Source organism: Homo sapiens, chromosome 3 (assembly GCF_000001405.40).
Source record: "Homo sapiens chromosome 3, GRCh38.p14 Primary Assembly".
Lineage (NCBI taxonomy): Eukaryota > Metazoa > Chordata > Mammalia > Primates > Hominidae > Homo > Homo sapiens.
Window position 1 is genome coordinate 17,447,956 of NC_000003.12, and position 27,495 is coordinate 17,475,450.

At 36.5% G+C, this 27,495-nt stretch overlaps 1 protein-coding gene and 1 pseudogene across 65 annotated transcripts in view, besides 1 other annotated feature; one reads left to right on the plus strand and one right to left on the minus strand.

Annotated features, from left to right (window-relative positions):
- The window catches only part of TBC1D5 (TBC1 domain family member 5), a 585,470-nt gene that overhangs the window by 290,794 nt on the left and 267,181 nt on the right, over nt 1-27,495 (minus strand). The gene's annotated exons all lie outside the window — the stretch shown is intronic.
- Nucleotides 1,802-2,096: a silencer, noted in NCBI's record as "tiled region #9690; K562 Repressive non-DNase unmatched - State 23:Low". NCBI's record gives its function as "represses a minimal TATA promoter and a strong SV40 promoter by Sharpr-MPRA in K562 cells {active_cell/tissue: K562}" and the evidence as "EXISTENCE:reporter gene assay evidence [ECO:0000049][PMID:27701403]".
- Nucleotides 17,176-17,525, plus strand: RPL31P19 (ribosomal protein L31 pseudogene 19; annotated as a pseudogene).

The window sequence follows — 27,495 nt, forward strand, 5'->3', positions numbered from 1 at the left end:
ATTATCATTTTCTTATTGATTTGTAAAAGCTCTTTAATTTTTAGGGTAATTAACTTTGTAGCCAGGAGTGTTAGTGTGCACCTGTAGTCTCAGTAGCACTTAGGAGGCTCAGACAGGCAGATCACCGGAGCCCTCGGGTTCAAGGCTGATTCCATCTCAAGAAACTACTTTCTCTGCTTATCCAAAAGAAGCAACTCCTCATTCATTACAGTTTTATCATGAGATTGCAGGAATATATTAACATCTTCAGTGCCCGCTTCTAATTCCAGTTCTCTTGCTATTTCCTGTCCATCGGCAGTTACTTCCTCCACTGAGGAGGTCTTGAACTTAAAACTTGAACATCTCCAAGTCAGCGATGAGGGCTGGAATCAACTCCTTTAAAACCCCTGTTCAGGCTGATATTTTGACCTCCTCCCATGAATCATGAATATTCTTAATAGATCTATTATGATGACTCCTTTCCAGAAGGTTCCAATGTATTTTGCTCTGACACATCAGAGGAATCACTATCTATGGCAGCTATGAATTATGAAATGTATTTCTTAAATAATAAGATGTGAAAGTAGAAATGACTACTTGATCCAGGGGCTGCAGAATGGATGCCGTGTTGGCAGGCATGAAAACAACATTAATCTTGTACATCTCTACCAGAGCTTTTGTGTGACCAGGTGCCTTATCAAAGAGAAGTCATTTTTGAAAGGCATCTTCTTTTTCTGATCAGTAGGTCACAAGAATAGGCTTAAAATATTCAGTCAACCATGCTATAAGCAAATGTACTAACATCCAGCCTTTACTGTTCTATTTACAGAGCACAGTGAGAGGAGATTTAATTAACTCTTAAGGGCCCTAGGATCCTCAAAATTGTTAATGAACATCAGCTTTAACTAAATATCACCAACTACATTAGCCTCTAACAAGAGAGTCAGCCTGTCCTTTGAAGCTCTCAAGCCAGGTACTGACTTCTCCTCTTTAGCTATAAAAGTCCTTATTCATGGGATCTGGCAAGATGGCCAAAAAGGAACAGCTCCCAGAGAGACCAATGCAGAAGGCAGGTGATTTCTGCATTTTCAACTGCGGTACCCTTCTCATCTCATTGGGACTGGTTAGAAAGTGGGTGCAGCCCACCGAGGGTGAGCAGAAGCAGCATGGGGCACCACCTCACCTGGGAAGCCCAAGGAGTTGGGGAACTCCCTCCCCTAGCTAAGGGAAGCCATGAGGGACTGTGCCATGAGAGACGGTGTTATCCAGCCCAGATACTATGCTTTTCTCACGGTTTTTGCAACCTGCAGACCAGAAGATTCCTGCAGGTGTCTACACCACCAGGGCCCCGGGTTTCAAGCACAAAACTGGGCAGCCATTTGGGGCAGACACCAAGCTAGTAGGAGTTTTTTTCATACCCTAGTGGCACCTGGAATGCCAGAGAGAGAGAATTGTTCACTCCCGTGGAATGGGTGCTGAAGCCAGGGAGCCAACTGGTTTTGCTCAGTGGATCCCACCCCCACAAAGCCCAGCAACCTAAGATCCACTGGCTTGAAATTCTCGCTGCCAGCACAGCAATCTGAAGTCGACCTGGGATACTCAAGCTTGGTAGGGGAAGGGGCGTCCACCATTACTGAGGCTTGAGTAGGCAGTTTTCCCCTCAGAGTATAAAGAAAGCCATCAGTAAGTTCGAACTGGGAACCCACTGCAGTGCAGCAAAGCTGCTGTAGCCAGGCTGCTTCTCTAGATTCCTCCTCTCTGGGCAGGACATCTCTGAAAGAAAGGCAGGAGCCCCAGTTAGGGGCTTATAGATAAAACTCCCATCTCCCCAGGACGGAGCACCTGGGGGAAGGGGCGGCTGTGGGAGCAGCTTCAGCAGACTTAAACATTCCTGCCTGCAGAATCTGAAGAGAGCAGCAAATCTCCCAGCGAATGCTCAAGCTCTGCTAAGGGACAGACTGCCTCCTCAAGTGGGTCCCTGATCCCCGTGCCTCCTGACTGGGAGACATCTCCCAGCAGGGATCGGCAGACACCTCATATAGGAGAGCTCCGGCTGGCATCTGGCAGATGCCCCTCTGGGATGAAGTTTCCAGAGGAAGGGGCAGGCCGCAATCTTTGCTGTTCTGGAGCCTCCGCTGGTGATACCAAGGCAAACAGGGTCTGGAGAGGACCCCCAGCAAACTCCAGCAGAATTGCAGAAGAGGGGCCTGACTGTTAGAAAGTAAACTAACAAACAGAAAGCTATAACATCAACATCAACAAAAAGGACACCCACGCAAAAACCCCATCCAAAAGTCATCAACATCAAAGATAAAAGGTAGATAAATCCACGAAGATAAGGAAAAAACAGCGCAAAAATGCTGAAAATTCCAAAGACCAGAATACCTCTTCTCCTCCAAAGGATCACAACTCCTTACCAGCAAGGGAACAAAACTGGACAGAGAATGAGTTTGATGAATTACAGAAGTAGGCTTCAGAAGGTGGGTAACAACAAACTCCTCCGAGTTAAAGGAGCATGTTCTAACTCAATGCAAAGAAGCTAAGAACCTTGATAAAAGGTCACAGGAACTGCTAACTAGAATAACCAGTGTAGAGAAGAACATAAATGACCCGATAGAGCTAAAAAACACAGCACAAGAACTTCGTGAAGCATACACAAGTATCAACAGCAGAATCGATCAAGTGGAAGAAAGGATATCAGAGATTGAAGATCAACTTAATGAAATAAAGCATGAAGACAAGATTAGAGAAAAAAGAATGAAAAGGAATGAACAAAGCCTCCAAGAAATATGCGCCTATGTGAAAAGACCAAACCTACGTTTGATTGGTATACCTGAAAGTGATGGAGAGAATGGAACCAAGTTGGAAAATACACTTCAGGATATTATCCAAAAGAACTTCCCCAACCTAGCAAGACAGGCCAACATTCAAATTCAGGAAATACAGAATATACCACTAAGATACTCTACCAGAAGAACAACCCCAAGACACATAATCGTCAGATTCACCAAGGTTGAAATGAAGGAAAAAATGTTAAGGCCAGCCAGAGAGAAAGGTCAGATTGCTCACAAAGCCCATCAGACTAACAGCGGATCTCTCAGCAGAAGCCCTACAAGCCAGAATAGAGTGGGGTCCAATATTCAACATCCTTAAAGAAAAGAATTTTCAACCCAAAATTTCATCTCAAGCCAAACTAAGCTTTGTAAGTGGAGGAGAAATAAAATCCCTTACAAACAAGCAAATGCTGAGAGATTTTGTCACCACCAGGCCTGCCTTACAAGAGTTCTGAAGGAAGAACTAAATATGGAAAGGAAAAAGCAGTACCACCCACTGCAAAAACATACCAAAATGTAAAGACCATCAACACTATGAAGAAACTGCATCAACTAATGGGCAAAATAACCAGGATATGAACAGACACTTCACAAAAGAAAACATTTATGTGGCCAACAAACATGAAGAAAAGCTCATCATCACTGGTCATTAGAAAAATGCAAATCAAAACCACAACGAGATACCATCTCATGTCAGTTAGAATGGTGATCATCAAAAAAAAGTCAGGAAACAACAGATGCTGGAGAGGATGTGGAGAAATAGGAACATTTTTACACTGCTGGTGGGAGTATAAATTAGTTCAACTATTGTGGAAGACAGTGTGGCAATTCCTCAAGGATCTAGAACTAGAAATAACACTGGAGGGGAAGGGGAGGGATAGCATTAGGAGAAATACCTAATGTGGATGACGGGTTAATGGGTGCAGCAAACCACCATGGCACGTGTATACCTATGTAACAAACCTGCATATTCTGCACATGTATACCAGAACTTAAAGTAAAATATTAGCCGGGCGTGGTGGTGGGCGCCTGTAATCCCTGCTCGGAGGGCTGAGGCAGGAGAATCGCTGGAATCTGGGAGGTGGAGGTTGCAGTGAGCTCAGAGAGGACCACCATCGCACTCCAGCCTGGGCAACAAAGCGAGACTCCGTCAAAAAAGAAAAAAAATTACAAGAAGGTTATAGAACACCAAGCAGATTTAACCCAAAGGTGATTACCTCAAGGCATTTAACAATCAAACTCCAAAGGGTCAGAAATAAAGAGTTTTTATTGCTTTTTTTTAATTGCGTGTTTGTTTACACAATCAGTGTTAAGTTGCTATCAGTTTAAAGTAATGAGTTATAAGATAGTATTTATAAGCCCCATGGTAAGCTCAAATTGAAAAACATACAATGGATACACAAAAAAATAAAAAGCAAGAACTGAAATCATACCACCAGAGAAAATCAACTTCGCTAGAAGGAAGACAGGAAGGAAGGAAGGGAAGATTACAAAACAACCAGAAAACAACAAAATGGCAGGGGTAAGTCCCTACTTATCAATAATAACATTAAATGTACATAGACTAAACTGTCAAATTAAAGGGCATAAAGACAGAAGGTCTGAATGGATGAAAAACCAAGACATGATGAAAACCCAAGACACAGTGATCTATTGCCTACAAGAAACACACTTTACCTATAAGGATACATAGAGACTGAAAATAAATGGATGGAAAAAGATATTCCATGCCAGTGGATACCAAAAAAGAAGAAAAGTAGTTATACTTACATCAGACAAAATAGATATCCAGACAAAGAATGTCATTATATAATGAAAAAAGGGTCAATTCACAGGAAGAGGATAAAACAATTATAAATATATATGCATCCAGTACTGAGCATCCAACATATAAAGCAAATATTATTAAAGCTAAAGAGACACATAGACACTAACACAATAATAGCTAGAGAATTCAGCACCCCACTTTCAGCAATGGAAATATCTCCCAGACAAAGAAATCAAAAAAGAAACATCAGATTTAATCAGCAAAATAGAACAAATGGACTCAACAGATATTTACAGAACATTTCATCCAACAGGTTCAGAATACACATTCTTTGCCTCAGCAAATGGATCATTCTCCAGGATAGACCATATGTTAGTTTACAAAACAAGTCTTAAAACATTAAAAAAAAATACTATCAAGCATCTTCTCTAACCACAATGGAATAAAACTACAAATCAATAACAAGAGGAATTTTCAAAACTATGCAAACACATGGAAATTAAACAATATGCTCCAGAAAGACCAGCAGGTCAATGAAGAAATAAAAAAAAAAAAAAAAAGAAAAGTGTCTTGAAACAAATGATAATGGAAACACAACACACCAAAACCTATGGGATACAGCAAAAGCAGTAGTAAGAGGGAAATTTATAGCTGTAAGTGCCTACATCAAAAAAGAAGAAAAATTCCAAATAGTTAACTAATGATGCATTTTACAGAACTAGAAAAGCAAAAGCAAACCAAACCCAAAATTAGGAGAAGAAAAGAAATAATGAAGATCAGATCAGAAATAGATGAATTTGAAATAAACAAAACAATAAAAAAAAAGAAATAAAAAGTTGGTTTTTTGAAACGATAAAATTGACAAACCTTTAGCCATACTAACAAAGAAAAATAATGGAGAAGACTCAAATAAATCATGGATGAAAAAGAAAACACTATAACAGATACCTCAGAAATTGAAAGAATCATTAGTGGCTACTATGAACAACTATAAGACAATAAATTGGACAATCTAGAGGAAATGTTTAAATTCCTAGACACATACAATCTACCAAGATCAAACCATGAAGAAATCCAAAACCTGAACAGACCAATAATGAGTAACAAGATCAAAGCCATAATGGCTTTACTGCTGAATTCTACCAAACATTTAAAGAAGAACTAACACCAATCCTACTAAACTCAAACTGTTCCAAAAACTAGAGGCCAAGGGGATACTTCCAAACTAATTCTACAATGCCAATATACCAAAACCTAGACAAAGACACATCAAACAAGAAAACTACAGGTCAATATTTCTGATGAATAATGATGCAAAAAGTCCTCAACAAAATACTAGCAAATCAAAATAAACAATACATTAAAAAGGTCATTCATCATGACCAAGTGGGATTTATCTCAGAGATGCAAGTATAAATCAACATATGCGAATCAATCAATGTGATACATCCTACCAATGGAATGAAGGATAAAAACCACATGATCATTTAAATTCATGCTGAAAAAGCATCTGATAAAGTTCAGCATTCCTTTTATCCTCCAGGATAAACGCCTTTAAAAAACTGGAGACAGAAGAACATATCTCAACATAATAAAAGCCATATATGACAGACCCACAGCCAGTATCATACTGAATGAAGAAAAATTGAAAGCCTTTTCTTTAAGATCTAGAAGACAACAAGAATGCCTGCTTTCACAACTGATATTCAACAGAGTACTGGATGTCCAAGCTTGGACAATCAGATGAGATAACGGTATAAATGGTATCCGAATTGGAAAATAAAACAGCAAATTATCCTTGTTTGCAAATGATATGATCTTATATTTGGAAAAACGTAAAGACTCTACAAAAAAAAACTAGTAGAACTGATAAATTCATTTAAGTTGCAGGATACAAAATCAACATATAAAAATCAATAGCATCTTTTTTCTTTTTTTTCTGAGATGGAGTCTCGCTCTGTCACCCAGGCTAGAGTGCAGTGGTACGATCTCGGCTCACTGCAAGCTCCGCCTCCCGGGTTCACGCCATTCTCCTGCCTCAGCCTCCTGAGTAGCTGGGACTACAGGTGCCCGCCACCATGCCTGGTTAATTTTTTTGTATTTTTAGTAGAGATGGGGTTTCACCATGTTAGCCAGGATGGTCTTGATCTCCTGACCTCGTGATCCGCCTGCCTCGGCATCCCAAAGTATTGGGATTACAGGCATGAGCCACCGTGGCCCAGTCAAAAATCAGTAGCATTTCTATATGCCAACAGTGAGGAATCTCAAATAGAATAAAAAAAGTAATCCCATTTACAATAGCCACAAATAAAATTAAATACTTATGAATTAACTTAAAGAAGTAAAAGATGTCTACAATTAAAACTATCAAAGATTGATGAAACAAACTGAAGAGGACAACAACAACAACAACAAAAAAAGGAAAGATATTCCATGTTCATGGATTGGAAACCTCAACATTGCTAAAATGTCCATACTACCCAAAGCAGTCTGCAGATTCAATGCATTCGCTATCAAAATACCAAATGACATTCCTCACACAAGTAGAAAAAACTGTCCTAAAATGTATATGGAACCACAGAAGACTCAAAATAACCAAAGCTATCCTAAGCCAAAAAAAAAAAAGTATACACACACACACACACACGTGTGTGTGTATATATATGTATATATGTATACATATATATTATATATTGTATACATATATTATTGTATATATGTATACATATATACATATATGTGTGTATATATGTATATATGTATGTATATATGTAAATATGTGTATATGTGTATATATGTATATGTATATATGTATATGTATATGTGTGTATATATATGTATAAGCCAAAAAAAGTATATACACACACGTGTGTGTATATATGTATATATGTGTGTATGTGTGTGTATATATATATGTGTGTGTATATATATGTGTATATATATGTATATATATGTGTATATATATATGTGTGTGTGTATATATATATATATATATGTGTGTGTGTGTGTATATATATATAGGTCTGGTGCAGTGGCTCATGCCTGTAATCCCAACACTTTGGGAGGCCAATGCAGTGGATTGCTTGAGCTCAGGAGTTCGAAACCAACCTGGGCAACATGAAGAAACCCCATGTCTATAAAAATTACAAAAAAATTAACCAGGTGTCATGGTGCACACTTGTAGTCCAGTTACTTGGGAGGCTGAGGTGGGAGAATTCCTTGAGGCTGGGAGGCAGAGTTGCAGGCAGCTGAGACTGCACTACTGCATTCCAGCCTGGGTGAAAGAATGAGACCCTGTCTCAAAAACAAAATAAAACAAAAAAGAACACAATAGGAGGAATCATATTATCTGATTTCAAATTATACTGCAGATCTATAGTAACCAAAACAGGATGGCACTAGCACAGAAACAAACACAGACAAATAGAACAGAATAGAGAACCCAGAAACAAACCCACCCTCCTACATGGAACTCATTTTTGACAAAGGTGCCACTAACATACATCAGGGAAAAGACAGTCTCTTCAATAAATGGTAGTGTGAAAACTGAATATCTATATGCAGAAGAATGAAACTAGAGCCCTATCTCCTGACATATGGAAAAATCAAATAAAAACATGATTAAAGACTTAAATCTAAGACCTCAAACTATTAAACTACCACAAAAAAAAATCTGGGAAACTCTCCAGGACATTGGTCTGGGCAAAGATTTCTTGAGTAATACCCCACAAGCACAGGCAATCAAACCAAAAATTGACAAATGGGATCACATCAAGTTAAAAATATTCTGTGTAGTAATAGAAAAAATGAACAAAGTGAAGACATAAGCCACATAATAGGAGAAAATATCTGCAAACTACCCATGTAACAAGGGATTAATCACAAGACTATATAAGGAGCTCACAAAACTCTATAAGAAAAAATTTAACAATCTGATTACAATATGGGTGAAAGATTTGAATAGACATTTCTCAAAAGAAGACACAGAAATGGCAAACAGGCATATGAAAAGGTGTTCAACATACCGATCATCAGAGAAATGCAAATCAAAACTACAATGAGATAGCATCTCACTCCAGTTAAAATGGCTTTTATCCAAAAGACAGCCAATAACAAATGCTGGTGAGGATGTAGAACTCTTATACACTGCTGGTGGCAATGTAAGTTAGTACAACCACTACAAAGAACAGTTTGGAGGTTCCTCAAAAATCTAAAATACAAAATGAGTGAGTAAAAAAATGTGGTATAACAATAAAATGGAATGCTATTCAGCAATAAAAAGGAACAAAGTACGGATACATGCTATAAAATGGTTGAACCACAAAAACATTTTGTTAAACAAAAGACAGGCACAGTCATAAATGCCATGTAGTTACATTTATATGATATGTCTGAAAAAGCAAATTTACAGTTATAAGACAAAAAGTTGAATAGTGGTTTTATGGGACTAACAGTGAGAATGTAGAGTGACTTTCAATAGCAAAAAAAAATATTTTGGGGGGTAGAATCTTTTGCATTTGTTTTCTATTTTTTGCTAGAACAATATATAGTATTTTTTTCTAATTGTCTTTAAGACATTCTTTGTCTTTTGTTTTTATTAGTGTGAATGATATACAATGTTGTTGGTTTTTAAATTTTTATTTTCTATATTCTGCTTTAAGTTCTCTGAATTTCTTGAATCTCTAGTTTGATGTCTGTCATTAATTTTGAAAAATTATTAGCCATTATTTCTTCAAATAATTCTTCTACTCTTTTCTCTTTTTTTCCAAGACTCCAATTACATGTACCATTTGATATTTCTCATGGTTCTTGGGTGTTCTGTTCTGAATGGTTCATTATTATTTCTCTTTGTGTTTCAGTCTGGGTGATTTCTATTGACCTATCTTTCAGCTCACTGCCTGCCAGTTCTACTGATGACCCTGACATAGCCATTCTCCATTTCTGTTACTATGTTTTACATTTCTAGGACTTCCTTTTAATTCAAATAAAATTTTTGTATCTCTGCTGAAATTAACCATCTGATGTTGAATGTTGCCCAGCTTTTCCACTAAAGCCTTCAACATATTCATCATAGTTATTTAAGAATACTTATGGGACAGTTCCACCATATATGTCATATCTGCATTTGTGTTTTGGTTCTAATTGCTTTATCTATTTTGAGTGTTTTTTTTTTCTTGCGCGTTCATATGCTTTTAACTTTTTGTTTAAATTCTCATGTATTATTGTCATCAGATGTATGACAGTAAAGACTAAAACAGTTTTCATTGCTTGGATATGGCCACATGTTTCCTTCTGCTAAAACTTTAGCACAGGGGTTTGCATCAACATAATTAGAAAGTGAGCTAGGTTTGAAGTTTGTTACTTCTACGCTACACTCAGTGCTCTACAGGCTACCATTCCTAAATGATACCTTATATTGGGGTGTGGGATTTAGTTTGTAAAAATATTTCTTTCTTCATTTTCAGAACCACTACCTACATACTAAGTCACGTCTTTCCTTTGTACTCAAAAAAGTTATTTACCAAGGTACTTATGATCCTAACAGCAGAGTAAGAAACGGAGGAAGGTCTTCTTTGGTCTTCTGACTCAGCCTCAGTCTTAGGTGAACACTGTGACCCTAAGTCTGAGGTGTACAGCCTTCTCCATGATCCTTCTCCTCCCCTAGTATAGTTTTTATCACTGTAGATATTCCTACCCCTTCCTCAGGGGCTGAGGGTTTTTTCCCTGTTTCCATACCCCAACTGCAAAAAGATTTCATCAGTACTTAAGGGGAATGGTAATTGTTGCAGCGCTTCTGACAAAATATAGCTTTGTTCCAGAGTCCACGTGGAGATTATTCCCCCTCAGGCTATGGCTGCTGTAATATTCCCCCTGTTCCTCACCACGGAGGGCATTTTCTTTTACTGATGGGTTCATAAACAAGCCTGCAAGAGGGTGTGGGTTCCCTCTGTATTTGTGGCTCCCAGGATATTCATCCTTTCTCATCAGTATACACTTGGCTTCTATCAATGTAACGATCATCTTAGTTGATCTCTTTCTAGAGGTGTACAGCTGTGTCTTATCCAGGTAAGTCAGTACTTGTAGGATGCCTCTCCCTGCAGGTATTTGTCTCTAGATTCTGGGTCTGTCCATGGGTCTGAAATTTCAGCACTCAGAGAAGTGGTCAAGGCAAGCTGTGAACTTGATTTTCAGCTTTTCATTGTTTTACATTTGGGAGTGATGTCTTTCCAGCTCACTACATCTCTGATCAGAAACCGTAAGTCATCCCAACTACTTATATTTAACTCTATGTATTGTGGTTTTCAAAGCTTACTAACTTTCCACTTAGGCTCACTCATTCAACAATTGTACAGCTAAAGTTACCACTTTGCATGCATTGGTACCTTCATTCTGCCAAAGTTAAGCAGTTAACTAACGCGTAGCCATACAAAACCCCCGACAAAGACAAGCTGACCAAATTTCTAACCATAAGAATGAGTACATGTGGATCAGAGAAAAATATTTCATGATTACATTTATTTTCCATTAAGTTTAAAGAAATATTTTAGTTTAACAACTTAAGTGTAAAAAGCACCTTGTGTGTGGACACCATAGAGGATATAAATATAAGTAAGATAAAGACTTTATACCTTATTTCAGTAATAGTTTCTTATAGAGCAGCGGTCCTCAATCTTTTTGGCCCCAAAAACTGGTTTCATGGAATACAATTTTTCCACAGGTAGGGGCACAGGGATGGCTTCAGGATGAAACTGTTCCACCTCAGATCATCAGGCATTAGATTCTCATAAGGAGTGTGCAACCCACATCCCTCGCATGCACAGGGTTCATGGTCCTATGACAATCTAAAGTCGCTACTGATCTGACAGGAGGCAGAGCTCTGGTAGTGATGCTCACTTGTCTGTCGCTCACCTCTGGCTGTGACCGGTTCCTAACAGGCCACAGCCTGGGGGTTGAGGACCTCTGTTATAGAGAATACTTCAAACATTCAAAAATGATACTGTAGAGCATACTTAATAAATATTGCACCATTACATATTTTTATGGAGAGTTTTAAGGCATAGGTTAATGGCTGGGTGAGGGGCTGGATGCAGCAGCGCTCACTTCCAGTCCCAGCTACTCAGGAGGCTGAAATGGGAGGACTGCCTGAGCCCAGGAGTTCAGGGCCAGCCTGGGCAACATTAGTGTAACCGATCTCTTAAAGGAAAAAAAAAAAAAAGATTTACAGCCTGAGTTAATGATTATTCACTGTTAACAGATAACTGAATTGCTCGTAACACATAGATGAATTGAAGGCACATGTCTTAGAAAAACATAGGGTTTTCCTTGCAAATTTGATCCTATGCTTTACAGCAAATAGCAGATAAGGACAGGATGAAAATAAAAATTCAGCAGGATATATCTGGTTACATTTAATGACAGGAGTATACTTACACAAAAATAGCCTTCATGGAACATGGTCTATCTAATATTTATACCTCTAGCACTCTGATGTTAAGTAGTTAGTCTTTGTATTCTAAAAGGTAAACTTTTCAGTACGCACTGTTTCACTGGAGTCAGGTACTTCAAGCCAATTCTGTTCATATAAAAATTAAAGTATATATGCCAATTAATGACATGTTATGGGAAGCCAGAAAATGTGGAGAATTAGATATTCATAAGAACCTAACCGATATGATCTTTACATGTAACAAAAACTACCTGGGAATTCACAGCTTCAGAAGAGAAATTGATAAGGAAAATGCCAAATTAGAGAGGGTCAGAAAAATCTCACTTTAATGGCTTCAAATTCCTCTAGCTTGATGCATTCATCCTTCCACATCTTTGGGGATGAATGATGAGAACGTTATGGCTTTCTAAAACAATTCCTATTTCTGTAGCTAATGCTCAAATGGTTATTACGAATATTTACTCTTTCCCAATTCTAGACACTCCTCCTTCACACAGGTTCAGTTTTCCTCTAAGTATGTTAGTACAATTGATTACACTATAGTGAAGTTCTTAATCTGGCCTCTCAGCCATTTTTCCCCTTTAACATGATCATTTCTATTATGTTATCTATTTTACACACATTTTATAATTTGACTCTTGAGAGTCAAATTTGACTATTTTCAAATATATTTTTCAAATTTTTCAGCTCTTAGCGCATAGGCCCACTCTTGCATATATACATATATGCCAAAAAAGGATGCAACACTTCAATGCCAAGCTCACAGGGTTATGACGGTTAAAAAAAAAAAGATACTACATAGAAATGTTGGAAATTATACAATAAAAAAAATTAACTTCAATATACTAGTGGGTCAGAAAGATTATTATACTAACACATGTAAGATTCAATCTTTTGATTAAAAAAGTACTATATTTGGAGTTATAAAAAGCTCAGAGAACTGGAAACAGAAATGCAGTCTACGATAGATTATTCAGACTAATATAGAAGTCTTGGCACGAATAATAAGATAACTGTGGTTGATCCACAGAACAGTTGGATTATGCACCACAATATGCAAATCAGGTAACTATTTATGATAATTATTAAAATGTTAACTTGCAAATAAAGCACAGAAAATAACATCCTACTGTAAGTTGATTCCAGCACAGTATATGACAAGTCAGTATAATTAGGTAGTTTATGGTACGTATTACTCTCAGGTATGTTAATATGAATGCAATAATGCAAGCACAGTTTAACATTTTCAGTTAATTGTTCATGTTTTCTTTACACACACATATATGAACGTGCAAACACACCTCTGGTTGGAAGTCTCCTTTCTGTACACTTCCAACAAGTTTTGTTAATGTGTTCTTATGTACATACTGTGGGCTTCTCTCAAATCCAAGACTGAGAAGATTTCCATCATTCACTAACTTCAGTATCTGATAGTTACTGAATGTTCTGCAATGCTTTAAGCTACTTATATTACTTTTCATTTGCAAAGCCATCACTCCATTCACTGGCTTCATAACCTAACCTACAGACTTTTACTTCTTAGAATTTAAAAAATAACCATCAGAATAATCTTCATATAAATAATCCTGTTTGCCAAGGAGGCAGAGATCAAGGGCTTGGAGTACTGTGTATAAATCTGTCTCTTTTTCTGTGTGTGTATGTGTGTGTGCATGTGTGAGTGTGTATGTGTGTTGTTTTACCTGATTACTAATTCAAATCTAAACTCCCTACCAAAGAATCAAATGTCCTTGTGAACTGGTCTCCCATCTTCTCTAACCCACTTCCTATAAGCTCAATATTCTAGAAGGGATGTTGGCTCTCACTGCACCCACCACCTTATTTTATATCATCCCTTTAATTTCTCCTCCCTATCTATGCTTTAAATTTCTGCTTTATTGATTCTGTCTTTTACTGCTTCTAAGAGACATTTCATTTCTGCTATCACATTTTAATGTCTTATCATTTTCTCTCTCCAATTCCCTCTGAATCTTTTCCAATATCTCAGGCAAATTTCAACCCAGTCTTTTTAACATCATTCCTACTTTGTTTCAAAAAAAATATGTTTTCTTATGGAAAATAAAAATTATATTTTAAAAAATTTACTTATTTTTCCTAGATTTAAATCTTTTCAAAAAATATGTCTTTCTTCTTTCCCCTCAGAAAAATGTTACACTTATTTTATACTCTGAGTCTTTTGGTTTTTGTTTGACTGTTTATTCATTGTTAAGGTCTGCTCTGTTCTTTCCTAATAAATCAGTGGAGAAGAGGACGTAGTGCCACATTAATTTCCTGGTTTCCTTCATTACCCACGTGCTATATTTAAATGTTTCGGACCTTAATTTTTTTTTTTTTTTTTTTGAGCCAGGGTCTCACTGTCACCAAGGCTGGAGTGCAATGGTGTGATCATAGCTCACCGCAGCCTCAAACTCCCAGGCTCAAGAGATCCTCTCCTATCTCAGCCTCCTGAATAGCTAGGACAGGTGCAGGTCACCACACTCAGCTAATTTTTATTTTTTTGTAGAGATGGAGGTCTCACTATGTTGCCCAGGCTGGTCTTGAACTCCTGGGCTCAAACAATCCTCCCGCCTCAGCCTCCCAAAATGCTGGGATTACAGGCATGAGCCACTGGGCCCAGCCCTCAAATTTCTAATATTAGTTGTAATTTACTTACTATGGCTCTAAAGGTAAAAGGAAAGTTCACCTGGGTTCCTTCTACTGCTTGCCTATCTATACAGAATAATAATAAAGACTGTATGAACTGAAGCAGATCTTCTCTTTTAAACTGTATCAATAAAAATGCAATGCCAGACAGCATAGATCCATCCTATGGATCTTCCTGGCATTGTTTCTTATTTCTGAATGAAATGTGCCATGACCTATCTTCTTTTACCTTGGTCATATTACATTATCAGGAACCTTACTTCTAAATAAAGCAAAGCACTAATGGGTGAATAGTTGGGGTAAGGGGTCTGTGTGGTCATGAAATAGTCCACTATGTCAGAAAGCAACTCCCTCAGAGCAGAAAACAGCTTTCTTTCCTGAAAGGTTTGGAATTTCAAAGGTACAGACATGCACTGGAATTAAAAGCAAAAACAAAAAATAATGTTAAAAAACCTCCTTCCATCATTATATCCTGCTGTACTACTATTCTGCTTCTAAGTTCCATTTGCATTTTAGTTTGTAGAGATTCTTCCTGGTGTCTGGCATATTACTGATAAATATTCTGGGTTATATCACTTCTTAATATCACATCTCTGTTTCTACAAGCATTCTGACAGTAGGATAGGAAAGCATGGACTAGGTGTCAAAAGCCAGCTCACTCTTTAACTTGCTGATATTTATTTGCCTACTTCTGGGTTCCATTGGATTGGATACTACAGTCGATCATCTCAAGCTCCAATTATCTAAGACCCTATGTTTCTGGCTTCTCTGGTCATTAGTTACAGTTTGCAAGTCAGTAGTCAACCTGGGGAGAACTCACTGTTCATTCAACAAATTAGGACTAGATTAGGGTGAAGTGAGTTAAGAAAATCTGGTGCTTAACCTTGGGCATACCATTTAAGGGGGTGCTCAAAACTAAGTAATTAACATAAAAATACTTAAATATAATATTTTAAAAAACTGAATGATTCCAAAAGATTCATGATTAACAAAATATCAAAATTTTAAATGAAGACAAAATTTAATATTGCCATATCAGGCCACATTGGAGCCCAAGGCTAAAGAAAAGTCAGTAATAATGATCCTGTCATTTGCCTCATCCCAGTTTCGGCCCTGAAACAAATATATAAACAACTGTACTTCCCAGCCACTGATCTCTGCCCTCTTCATTGCAGAAAGCAGAATGTGGCCTGCTAATTTCATGCAATCGTATCTCTTCTCACAGCTGTTGATTTGAGTATTAATTTTATTCACATAATATTTCTCACGTTCCCAATCAATACTAGCATTCCTTATTCCTTTTTTTTTTTTTTTTTTTTTTTTTGAGACGGTGTTTTGCTCTTCTTGCCCAGGCTGGAGTGCCACGGCGCGATCTTGGCTCTACACAACCTCCACCTCCCAGGTTCAAGTGATTCTCCTGCCTCAGCCTTCCAAGTAGCTGGGATTACAGGCATGCGCCAACACACCCCGTTAATTTTGTAGTTTTAGTAGAGACGGGGTTTCTCCATATTGGTCAGGCTGGTCTCGAACTCCAGGTCAGGAAGATCTCAGGTGATCTTCCCGTCTCGGCCTCCCAAAGTGCTGGGATTACAGGCATGAGCCACTGCGCCTGTCCATTCCTTATTCTTAATCAGATAAGAGTTGCTGGTTTTCACAACTAATTACTCCACCTCAAACCAAGATGCCACCACACGCTTAAAGCTCAAAATTTCTCTAAATATGCATCCATTTTATTGTGTTTTTCTACTATCTCAAAGGAAGAGAGATCTGATTTCCTATTTTATTCTCTCCTTTCTCCTTTATTGGGAGAAATACTATAACTATTTCTTTCATGTAAACTTCAAATCTTTCCCGGTTTCCTTCAAATCTTTCCTCATTGATTCCTTCGTGTTTCAACAGAAACTGGGTCATAGAGCCCTAGAAATTCTTCCTAAAACTAGAGCAGTCTCTAACCTTATTTAACTTACTTTACTACTGCTACCACCATGATATACTGAACATTGTTTCCATTTTCTCATTTGACACTTACGGTTTTCACCCCTACCATGTGATTAAAACCATACATGAATCATCTCTTTTTTTCATCTATATCCTTCTTCCATTAGCAATATTATGTGATTCTTTCTGAAGAAGTCCTGGTGAAGTATCTGAAAACTACAACTATTTTTGTGTGGCCCATGAGCTAAGAATAGTTTCTATATTTCAAAAAGTTTTTTTCAAGATAAAAAAAAACAGTATTCTGTGACACATGAAAATTATATAAAATTCATATTTGAGTGATCATAAAGTTCACCAGCAGAAGGTGATGTTGCCGCACTAGATAAAGAAAAGCCTCTGGTGGCCACAGCAATGACCACTTCTTCTCTACTGTCCAACAGGTAGCTTGCTCTGCAGAGAAAAGGCGTGAAAAAAATTATTCTACCAGTTGACAGAAAAAAACCAGCTGAGAAATAAAACCTGATTGTTCACTTTTAAAAATCACACCCCCAACGTGGGCCCACTAGAATGGCTCCCACAAAGAAGAAGGGTCATTCTCCCATCAATGAGGTGGTGACCTGAGCATACAATCAACATTCACAAGTGCATCCATGGAGTGGGCTTCAAGAAGCATGCCCATCAGGCACTCAAAGAGATCTGGAAATCTGTCATGAGGGAGAGGGGAACTCCAGAACTGTGCACTGATAGCAGGCTCAACAAAGCTGTCTGGGCCAAAGGAATAAGGAATGTGCCATACCATATCCATGTGTGGCTGTCGAGAAAACATAATAAGGATGAAGATCTACCAAATGAGTTCTACACTTTGGTTACCTATGCACCTGTTACCACTTTCAAAAATCTACAGACAGTCATTGTGGATGAGAACTAACTGCTGATCATCAAATACATCAAATAAAGTTATAAAATCACCAAAAATAAACATAAAAAAATAAGAAATCACACCTCATCCTCAGAAAGAAAACTGACTCCTTCAACTTCCACAAACACATACACACTTCTTTTCAACTTATTTATACACTTTATAAATGTGAATAAAGTGATACTTCCTGCTGTTGCAAACAGGGTATATGTGCTGTTCTCCAAATAGTTCAAATGGTTTTATTATCACAACCTGAGAAATATTTCAAGAAGCAATGGATCCTGTTGTCTAACTAGTAAGAGAAGGAAAAGCTCATCATCAAATATATCCAAATTCAAAATTTTTTGGCAGCTATTTTCTAGTTTACACAAGGTAAATACCAAACAAAGTCAGTTCAGCAGGGCAATTCCTGGAGGAACATATTTTTACCCAATTCCTTCTGCTAGGCCCAATAGGACATGATATTATTTCAACTCAACTATTGTGAAGAATTCAGTCACCTTAGAATTGATATGGACAACTGGTGGCACTTTCCACATTTTCCTGTTACAGGGATCCCTGCCATCTTGCGTGGCATGAAATTCTAGGGTATCAACAGAGTACTTACTCAGGAACGTAGACTGTTTCTTGAAAAATATTTTGCCTCTGCCTAGAGATACCGCTATAGTCACACCCATGGAAGAACACATCCCAGTAAGAATATAAGTCAGTATTTTGGTATGTCATGATGAAATGCTACTGCCTTGACATAACCGTTTTACTAGCTAAAATATGAATCAGCTCTATTAGTAAAAATTTAGTGAGCTTCTGCTATGTGCCTAGATGAAATGCACAGCCTCTGCTTTCAAAGAAAAAAATATTTAGATAGGAAAATAGATGAGTAACATAAAGGGTATCTATACAACAAGTTCCTCAACTGAGAGCTGTATAGCTTGTCTCAGGCAGTTAAGACAGCCAATGTGTAAGAAGACACATCTAAAGCAATGTTTAGGCACACTTACAATTATTTCATGTCTATTTCTCTTTTCTACTTACTTATTTCCTCTTTTCCCTCACTCCATGAAACTGATGGACTTTAGGCAATATATTAGTTCCCAGTATAATTTGGGTTGGGAGATACTTATCCAATAGATAGGCTGGCTGTAATTTCCTTTAAGGATTCTTTTTTTTTCTCTTCATGTCAAGTTAGACCACTAGACAAGACATTCCTATAAATATAAAGAGTCCTTGATTTTACTGGCTTAACACCTTATATGCAAAATTACTTTTTTTTTTAGTAATTATGTCTTTAGATTGTTTTATTTTTATCAAACGTGACTCAAGTAGTCCATCTTCAACAGGAATATTAAGTTACTAAAAAAATCAGGATTGGAAACTTTATCACAATTAAATTTAAAAGTTTATAATAAAAACAGGATGAAAATAATTTGGGAAGTGAAATTTGAAAGCCCCAATAAATATTTAGTATTTTCTAAAATAAAGGAATAATACTAAAAATGAAAACATACAAAGTATTCACCTTTAATTATTAATAGTGGGTATGACAACTGATTTCTACGTCTACTCTTATTTTTTCAGAAACCCGTCAAGAGTTCTCCTCCCCAATATTTTTCATAATTATAAATGTTTTGTTTTACTATAGATAAAATGTACACTAAACATGTTCTGTTGCTACCATTCTAGGTCTGATCCTTCATCCCATTTTTCAGTGCCTTTCTGATTTTATCAAGCAGAATGCTAACTATTAAGTCCACCTAATTAGGGCCCAGCTTCTGCCAGACCTTCTTTTTTTTTTTTTTTTTTGATCTTTTTTTTATTATTTTTACTATTATACTTTAAGTTTTAGGGTACATGTGCACAACGTGCAGGTTTGTTACATATGTTTCTTACCCATTTGCAACACCTAGGAAGCAGTTCCAAGGTCCAGGTTCAATCTAGACCTTAAAATACCCTGTATGCCTCCTGTTCTTCTTCCTCTTTTTGGCTACAAGTGTCCAAAGACACAGACAAAAAAAGTTACATTTACTCAAAACTACATAATATAGACACAAAAAAGTTACATTTACTCAACACTACAGAATGATGAATAATTAGACAATATTTTGGCCAGGCTCAGTGGCTCACGCATGTAAGGAGGCTAAGGCGGGCAGATCACATGAGGCCAGGAGTTTCAGACCAGCCTGGCCAACATGGCAAAACCCCATCTCTACTAAAAATACAAAAATAATAATAATAATAATAATAAAATAACCAGGCATGGTGGCATACATTTGTAATCCTAGCTACTCAAGAGACTGAGACATGAGAATTGCTCAAACCCGGGAGGCAGAGATTGCAATGAGCCGAGATCATGACACTGTACTGCAGTCTAGGAAACGGGAGTTCCCTAGTTACCATGACAACTCCCCTTCCCCCAAATATCTTCATGTGTTTCCAAATGCTTTTGGGGTCAAAAAAGATTCTAGTAGAATCTGACTCCAAGTGAAGTAAAGAGACTAAAGAAAGAATAACGTTAAAAGAAAGTATACATTTTGAATAAGCAGCATAAAATAATGAAGTGTCAAAATGTAAAAGGTTTAAAGGGAAGAATGACCAAAGGTCAGAGGAATCCAGTAGCAGGACCACTGCAGATGGCAATTCAGCCAACCAGGATCTAGTGTACAGACATTTAGGAACACTAAAAAGACTCTAACATCAATTGAAGATTAGAAAGGATAAAATGATTACATTAACTTACATCCCTCTTTATGCCTGCTTGACCTGCAGAACATGTTTGGCAGCTCTTACCCTAGGACCTTTACACTTGCTATTTCCTCAGTTTGGAATGTCCTTGCCCCAAAACTTACATGGTTCACTCCTTTATCTCCCTTAAATATTAGCTCAATTTTTTTTCAATAATAACTGCTCTGATATTTAATTCTGCAACTTATAATAACTTATAATACACTATCAATCCCCTTAAATTGCAATATTGCAATATTCGTTTCTTTTTTCCAAAGAAATTACTGCTTTCAAAGACTCTGTTTATTTTTGTTATTTATTATATTTATTATTTACTATTTCCCTCTGTTAGAATGCAAGCTCCATGAAGGCAGGGATCTTTGTTATGTTCAATGATATGTCCCAAGCACCTAGAACACAGCTGTAGAACTTAGAAGGCCTAATCCTCAATAATCAACAACCATGATCTGCAGAATGATGAATATAGGCTGTAGAGAATCCAGCCCTGTCTCACCAAATCAAAAACATGATTCCTTTGAAACTGCAGGCTGTTTCATAATATTAAACTAATGATGTTCCTTTGTATTTACTATTATCAATGGGAGACAGAAAAATATTTCCTACATAGAAGTGGGCACTAACTAATCCCATAATGCCTTCAGTTAGCAAATCTCTAGACCCTCCACAGAAATCAAGCTTCAGACTCTGCACCAGGATATCAAAAACCACATTTCTTCTTTCATTTACCTGAAGTGACTTTGAACCTGGAGAAGGGAATTAATATTTCCCGAAGTCATTTGATGGCTGAGAGGCATGAACACAGAACTGGAGTCTCCCTGGATATGTGATTAGCATTTGAACATGCACTTTCTAATACACTCCCACAATAGTTCCTGAATACTGATTTAGAAGGACTAGAATTAAGTACCAAGAACTGAAAAAAAAATTATTAAAAAGATACATGTTAATTATAGACTATCAAATCAATAGTAAGAAATCAGCAAATAAATAGAAACTGCATTGTTAGGAGCTAAAATGTAGAAAAAGATGGTATGAAGTATTACTGAGGGAGCCAGAATAATCTATCGAGTCACATCTTTATTTCCAAAAGAAATTTCTTATGACCATACATCATTTTACAATGTAAAAACAGAGATTTCCCAAAGATTCTTACTCTGTTTCTAGCAACGAATGTATAGCCACTCATTCACATGTTCCACCATTTACTTTATGAGGGCCGTCCAGCCTGTAGACAATTCAATTAATCTTACAAGTGACATGCACAAGAAAAAAAAAAAAACAGATGTGGCATTAAGATTTACAAAGTTATTGAAACTTTTTAACAAGTAAAACGCATCTTTACTTAGCTACACCAGAATGAGGAATAAAGGGGTTTACATATGTTCCAATTCTAAACCTATCAATCAAACCCATGTTATTCCTTTGGGAGCTTATTTACATGCATATTTATCAGCCTCACATGCTAATTCCCTGCTGTTTTATGCCTGCAAGGCATGTTTATGAGTCATAATTGTTGATCTCATTTGATGTATTTTGCTGAAGGAAGACATTATTCAGTTATGTGGCCTAATGTCAATGAATTACGATGACCCGATCTTCCAAACACAATTTGCTCTTTAATTTTTATTAGGATATATAACTTACTGTACAGGAAAAGCAGTACACACTAAAATAAAAGAATAAATGTTTTACATAAAGAATTTAGTTAATCATCTCATTTTGATCCACCTTACTCCTTCACATTTCTTCTAAGATGTGGCTATAAAATAAGCTGTGTCACTCAGTCACTTATTTCCCTACACTCCTACACTGCGCCCTTAGCTTCATAATCTGTCACCATAGTCTAACTTTGCAGACCTGCTTCCAAGTTCAAGAAAAAACATGTGTTCATTTTTGCTACTTGCATATTCCTTTACTAGTTTTTCCCCTTAGTCAAGACCAGTGACTATTTTTAGGCTGTCCTACAAAATCTGGCTAACAAAGCTATTTTCTTCAACTCACTTAAAACATTATTTCAGGCAGGAAATCTTCCTAAAATAGGTACATTGGGTAATGGTAACTATTTCTGCATTCACCCAATCCCTTAGAAAACATAAAGCACCATTGCTTATATCAAAGCATTACCAATTTTTTAAAAAATAAAAACACTATATGCAAAGTATAACAATACAATTAGTGGTGGTATCAGGAGAGAACACCCTAAGAATTTGTGTTATTGAGAAACAGAAATGGAAAATGATGCAGTATATCTATATTTCTATAAATCAATCTATATTGGTGTTATAAAGAGCTTTAGAATAATGGAGTGACTTAAATGATTGTAAAATGTATGTATTAATGGCACAAGGGTCTTCTGCACTACTGTGAGAAATCTGAATTAAAAATAAGTGATTTTTGGATGGGCACGGTGGCTCACACCTGTAATCCCAGCACTTTGGGAGGCCGGGGTGGGTGAATCATGAGGTCAAGACATCGAGACCATCCTGGCCAACGTGATGAAACCCTGTATCTATTAAAAATACAAAAAAATCAGCCAGGTGTGGTGGCGGGCACCTGTAGTCCCAGCTACTCGGGAGGCTGAGGCAGGAGAATCATTTGAACCTGGAGGCAGAAGTTGCAGTGAGCCAAGATCGCACCACTGTACTCCAGCCCGGACGACAGAGTGATAATCCATCTCAAAAAAAAAGTGATTTTTGTGACATGAACTTCTGCAAGGAAAACGGCTTATGATTTTCCCTCCCCAGCACATTTGGGATGTGAATGACGATACCATATCACTAAAAAATAGATGTCATTGCAAGGGGTTACCACACTGAGTTCAATAAGCACTATCACTCCAGTGAGAACATTAGAACATGAAGCCTAAAACCACTTTTCTGCTAGGTGATCACACCACCTAAGTGATAGCTAGATGGAATTGCAGCCCAGAAATTTAAGTATCAGGAGACAGGAAAACTGGGCATACAGATGAACAGATCACAGTAGTCATTCTCTCTTCTTTTGACCTATACGTAAAGAATTAAAACTACAAGGAGTCATTCTTAAAATGCATTTGAAAGTGTTTTTGTAGCAGGATTAAAATCTAAGAAGGTAATGAAATGGTATTAGTATTAATATTCTATTCTTATTATGCTTAAATAATTTTTAAAATGTTTGGATGAGCAATAAACTAAAAAACAGATTTTAGAAAACAATCATAAGTATAATTTTAAAAACCTGTGAAAGAAACCACTTTGCCTTCCTCTTGCCTGGTATTTGTAAAAGATGTAGGAAAAGGAAAAGGTAACAAATAATAATACTACATAAACAGCATTTTAAAAAATCAAAATAGGCAGGAGAATGGCGTGAACCCGGGAGGCGGAGCTTGCAGTGAGCCGAGATTGCGCCACTGCACTCCAGCCTGGGCGACAGAGCGAGACTCCGTCTCAAAAAAAAAAAAAAAAAAAAAAAAAATCAAAATAAGCAAGTTGATATCCAGTACATGTACACACAATACCATGTAATTTAAAATGTATTTTATTGCATTAGAAACTACATGTGTTTTTCAACCTGAGGAAAATGATTTCCAAAAATTAAAAACAAGAAAGAAACTACACGTATTAATAGAATTTAATTGATTTCCTTTCTACGACAGAGATAAAATGCACTGAATTACACATTTGCTGTGGGAGGCGGTCAGAACATGAGCAGAGTTACCACATGACGAAATCTACCCTTTAACATACTAAAATAGCAAACTATACTAACAGGACACACTAAGTAAACTATAACAGTTTCAGGAGATTATAAGTTTTTCAATGTTCATCTCATTGTTAAGTAATTTAGAAGAATAGTAAAATTCAACACTAATCTAGTATATTATTTGAAAACATTAAGGTTTTATGAAAGGAGTTTTTTTTTTCTTTTTTTTTTTTGAGATGGAGTCTCACTCTGTTGCCAGGCTGGAGTGCAGTGATGTGATCTCAGCTCACTACAACCTCCACCTCCTGAGTTCAAGTGATTCTCCTGCCTCAGCCTCCCGAGTAGCTGGGACTACAGGCACGCGCCACCACACCCAGCTAATTTTTGTATTTTTTGTAGAGATGGGGTTTCAACCTTGTTGGCCAGGATGGTCTCGATCTCTTGACCTCATGATCCGCCCACCTCAGCCTCCCAAAGTGCGCGAGTCACTGCGCCCAGCCCAAAGGGAGATTTTTTACTACACAAATGAGGGCTTTTCTACTTCATATCTTCTCAATGAGGCCTTTCTTTCTGTCCTAACTAAAATGGTAACACCCTCCTTAATTCATTTCCTACCCTTCTCCCAGGCTTTATATTTCTCCATAGCACTTATCCCTATAGAACCAGATATATTTTACATATTAATCTTGCTTACTGTCAGTCTTTCACTAGAATTGTAACCTTCAAAGCAAAGGCTATAGTTTTGTTTATACCCGTAATTCTCAGCATCTATAATATATCTTGGCAGAGAGTAGGCACTCAATAAACAGCTACTGAAAGAAGAAATCAATGAATATTAAATATTACAATAAACATCTGGGAGCACATAAGTTTAAAAACATATATTTCTACATTAACAACGAAACCAGGATACTTAAGACAGCTAGTACTGAATATCTGATAGACCTATTACATTCTAAATATTAACATTAATGCCATCAGAATATCTGTGGCTGAGTAATCACAGTACCATAATTCACACACTCAGTCATCTTAGTTGAACCATGCAATCCTTGAAATACAATGAAGAGAAAATATATCACAAAGTACTGATCTCCTCTATCATGAGCTACAAATTTTATCCAAAAAAATTATTTCAACTAAAATGTACAGAATATAAATCAACTAACACATTGGTTTTCATGAAGTGTAAATATCTCGGTCAAGTGCAGTGGCTAATACCTGTAATCTCAGCATTTTAGGAGGCCGAGACAGAAGGATCACAGGACTTGAGCCCAGGAGTTTGAGACCAGCCTGGGCAACATAGCGAGACTCTGTGTCTATTATAAGTTTTTTAAGTGTCGATACCTTGAAAGCATATCCGAATAATCACAGATTTAATAAAAGAATAATTATCTTGAGCAATTTCATGTCCCTAACATACCATTTTAAAATATGTGACTTTGATAGGAGATTAAAATAACTTAGCACATTAATGTAAACATGAATTCATATACAATGAACTTGCAATACTAAAGATTCCCCAAATGTTGCAACATTCATCCTTTATGTATTTTAACTGTATTTCTAAAACTTAAACCTAAATATAAACACGTAAAGTATAAAACACTAAGCTCTGAGAGAAAGAGGTTTTTCAACTTGTACTTCTACAAAGAATAAAATTTGAAGGTGGCTCTGTGGATCAACCTACTTAATAATCTTCTCTCTTCCAAAAAGCTAACCGCAGGTTCTGGCCACAAGTCAGTAAATCAAATTTGATGAGGATTTAACTAAGTATAAGGTGAAAATGTCTATGAATAAACAGATCATGTGGCTTTTTAATTTACTGAAGTGTTTTTTAAAAGTAAACAAAATAAAATTTTAGTAATAACATGAAATGAATGTGCTTAGCTGAATTTCTACTTATAATTACATTTACTTCATTCTTTTTACCTGTTCTGCTTTCCTCATTAGTTTTTACTTTACTTTTTTTTTTTGCTTTACTTGTTTAGTTTTGCTTTTTACCTGTTTATGATCCATAATGTTGGAAAAAACAGTACAGTAATATCCCACAAGGGGGAGGATGAGGACTTTTTAATCCTCACTTTTACAATGTAAGTAACTTTCACATAGGAAGTTTTCCTCTAAAATAATTTACTTAACAAGGAGTAAACTGACATAAAATTAAGAGAGATGCAGACAAAACTTTGAAACAGAAACTACCTTTTAATCTACAAAGTGTGCACTCATCCAAAGTCAGTTAATCACCTTGTAAAAACTGATACTTTTATATAATTTACAAAATTAGAAACACAAAATAGACAGTTACACTGGCAAATATTTTTCTAGAATATAAACTACTTACTCATCAAAACAGATTTCTGAGTTATAAACTTAACTGAGATAAACGAGCTTCATCATAAGCTGAGTTTATGTTTGTCCTAAAATGTCCATCATATCTTTGTTTTCCTTTGGGCAAAATGGGAAAATCATACCCTGTTTTCTATTTAATTCATTAAAAATTGAACATTATGTGATTTATTATAAGTTTTCTGTACTAGGTATGAACATTAGCAATATTTGAAAGAAGGAATCAATTCTCTATCCAAAAGGAAAAAAATAAAGCTGATATTCAAAAGTAAAAGAAATGAACAGCAACATAGAGAAAACATGAAAATAATAAAGAACGACTCCAATCTTCAGAAGATATATTTAGACAGTTTCACATAAATAAAAACTTTATGTTCAACCAACCAACAATTCACACTTAAATCTATTTTAATGCATCATTGACATCGAAAGTAAAAAACAGGCAAGGACAGGAGAAGCACAGGCTTTCAGAAAGAGAAAAATTAAACTGAATGTCAATGGGCAAGGACACGTTAAGACTTATGATATACATTGCCAAATGGAATGCCGGAAGGATAATACCAATCTATATTGCCACAAAACCTATGTGAAAATCTCCAATTCCCTAGACCTCAAGCAAAGCCCAGTTGCATTACTTTTTTTAACGTAACAATGTGGAAGAAAAAAAAGAAAAACAAGAAACAAACTTGCTTTAATGTCATTCCTTATATGGCAAATGAGGTCACTCTGCATTTAATTATTAAGCATCCAAAATATTGCCTAAGAATTGCTAGTTTATGTCCTTTGGTCATTTTTCAATTGTGTTCATATTCCTAACTTGTCTGAATTTTTGGATATTAAAGATATCAAACTCTCATTTACTAATCTCTACATGTTAAGAGTATCCGGTGGTTCTACCTTGCCCCGCCCCACCCGTTTATATATTCCCAAATCTAACACCATCTGCATGGTAACTTCTCCCCAACCTATATCTTAAGACTTTACATCTTCCCAGAATCTCAGACTCATATATCCATCTCCACAAGACAAAAAGTCTAACAGACATCTCAGACGTCACCATACAAGGCAAACAAAACTCTTTATTTCTCCTCCCCACTCACCCCCTCCAAATTTAATTTTCTATCAACTACCAACACTTTAGTAAATGATATCATCTAATTTTCCATCAATTTCCAAC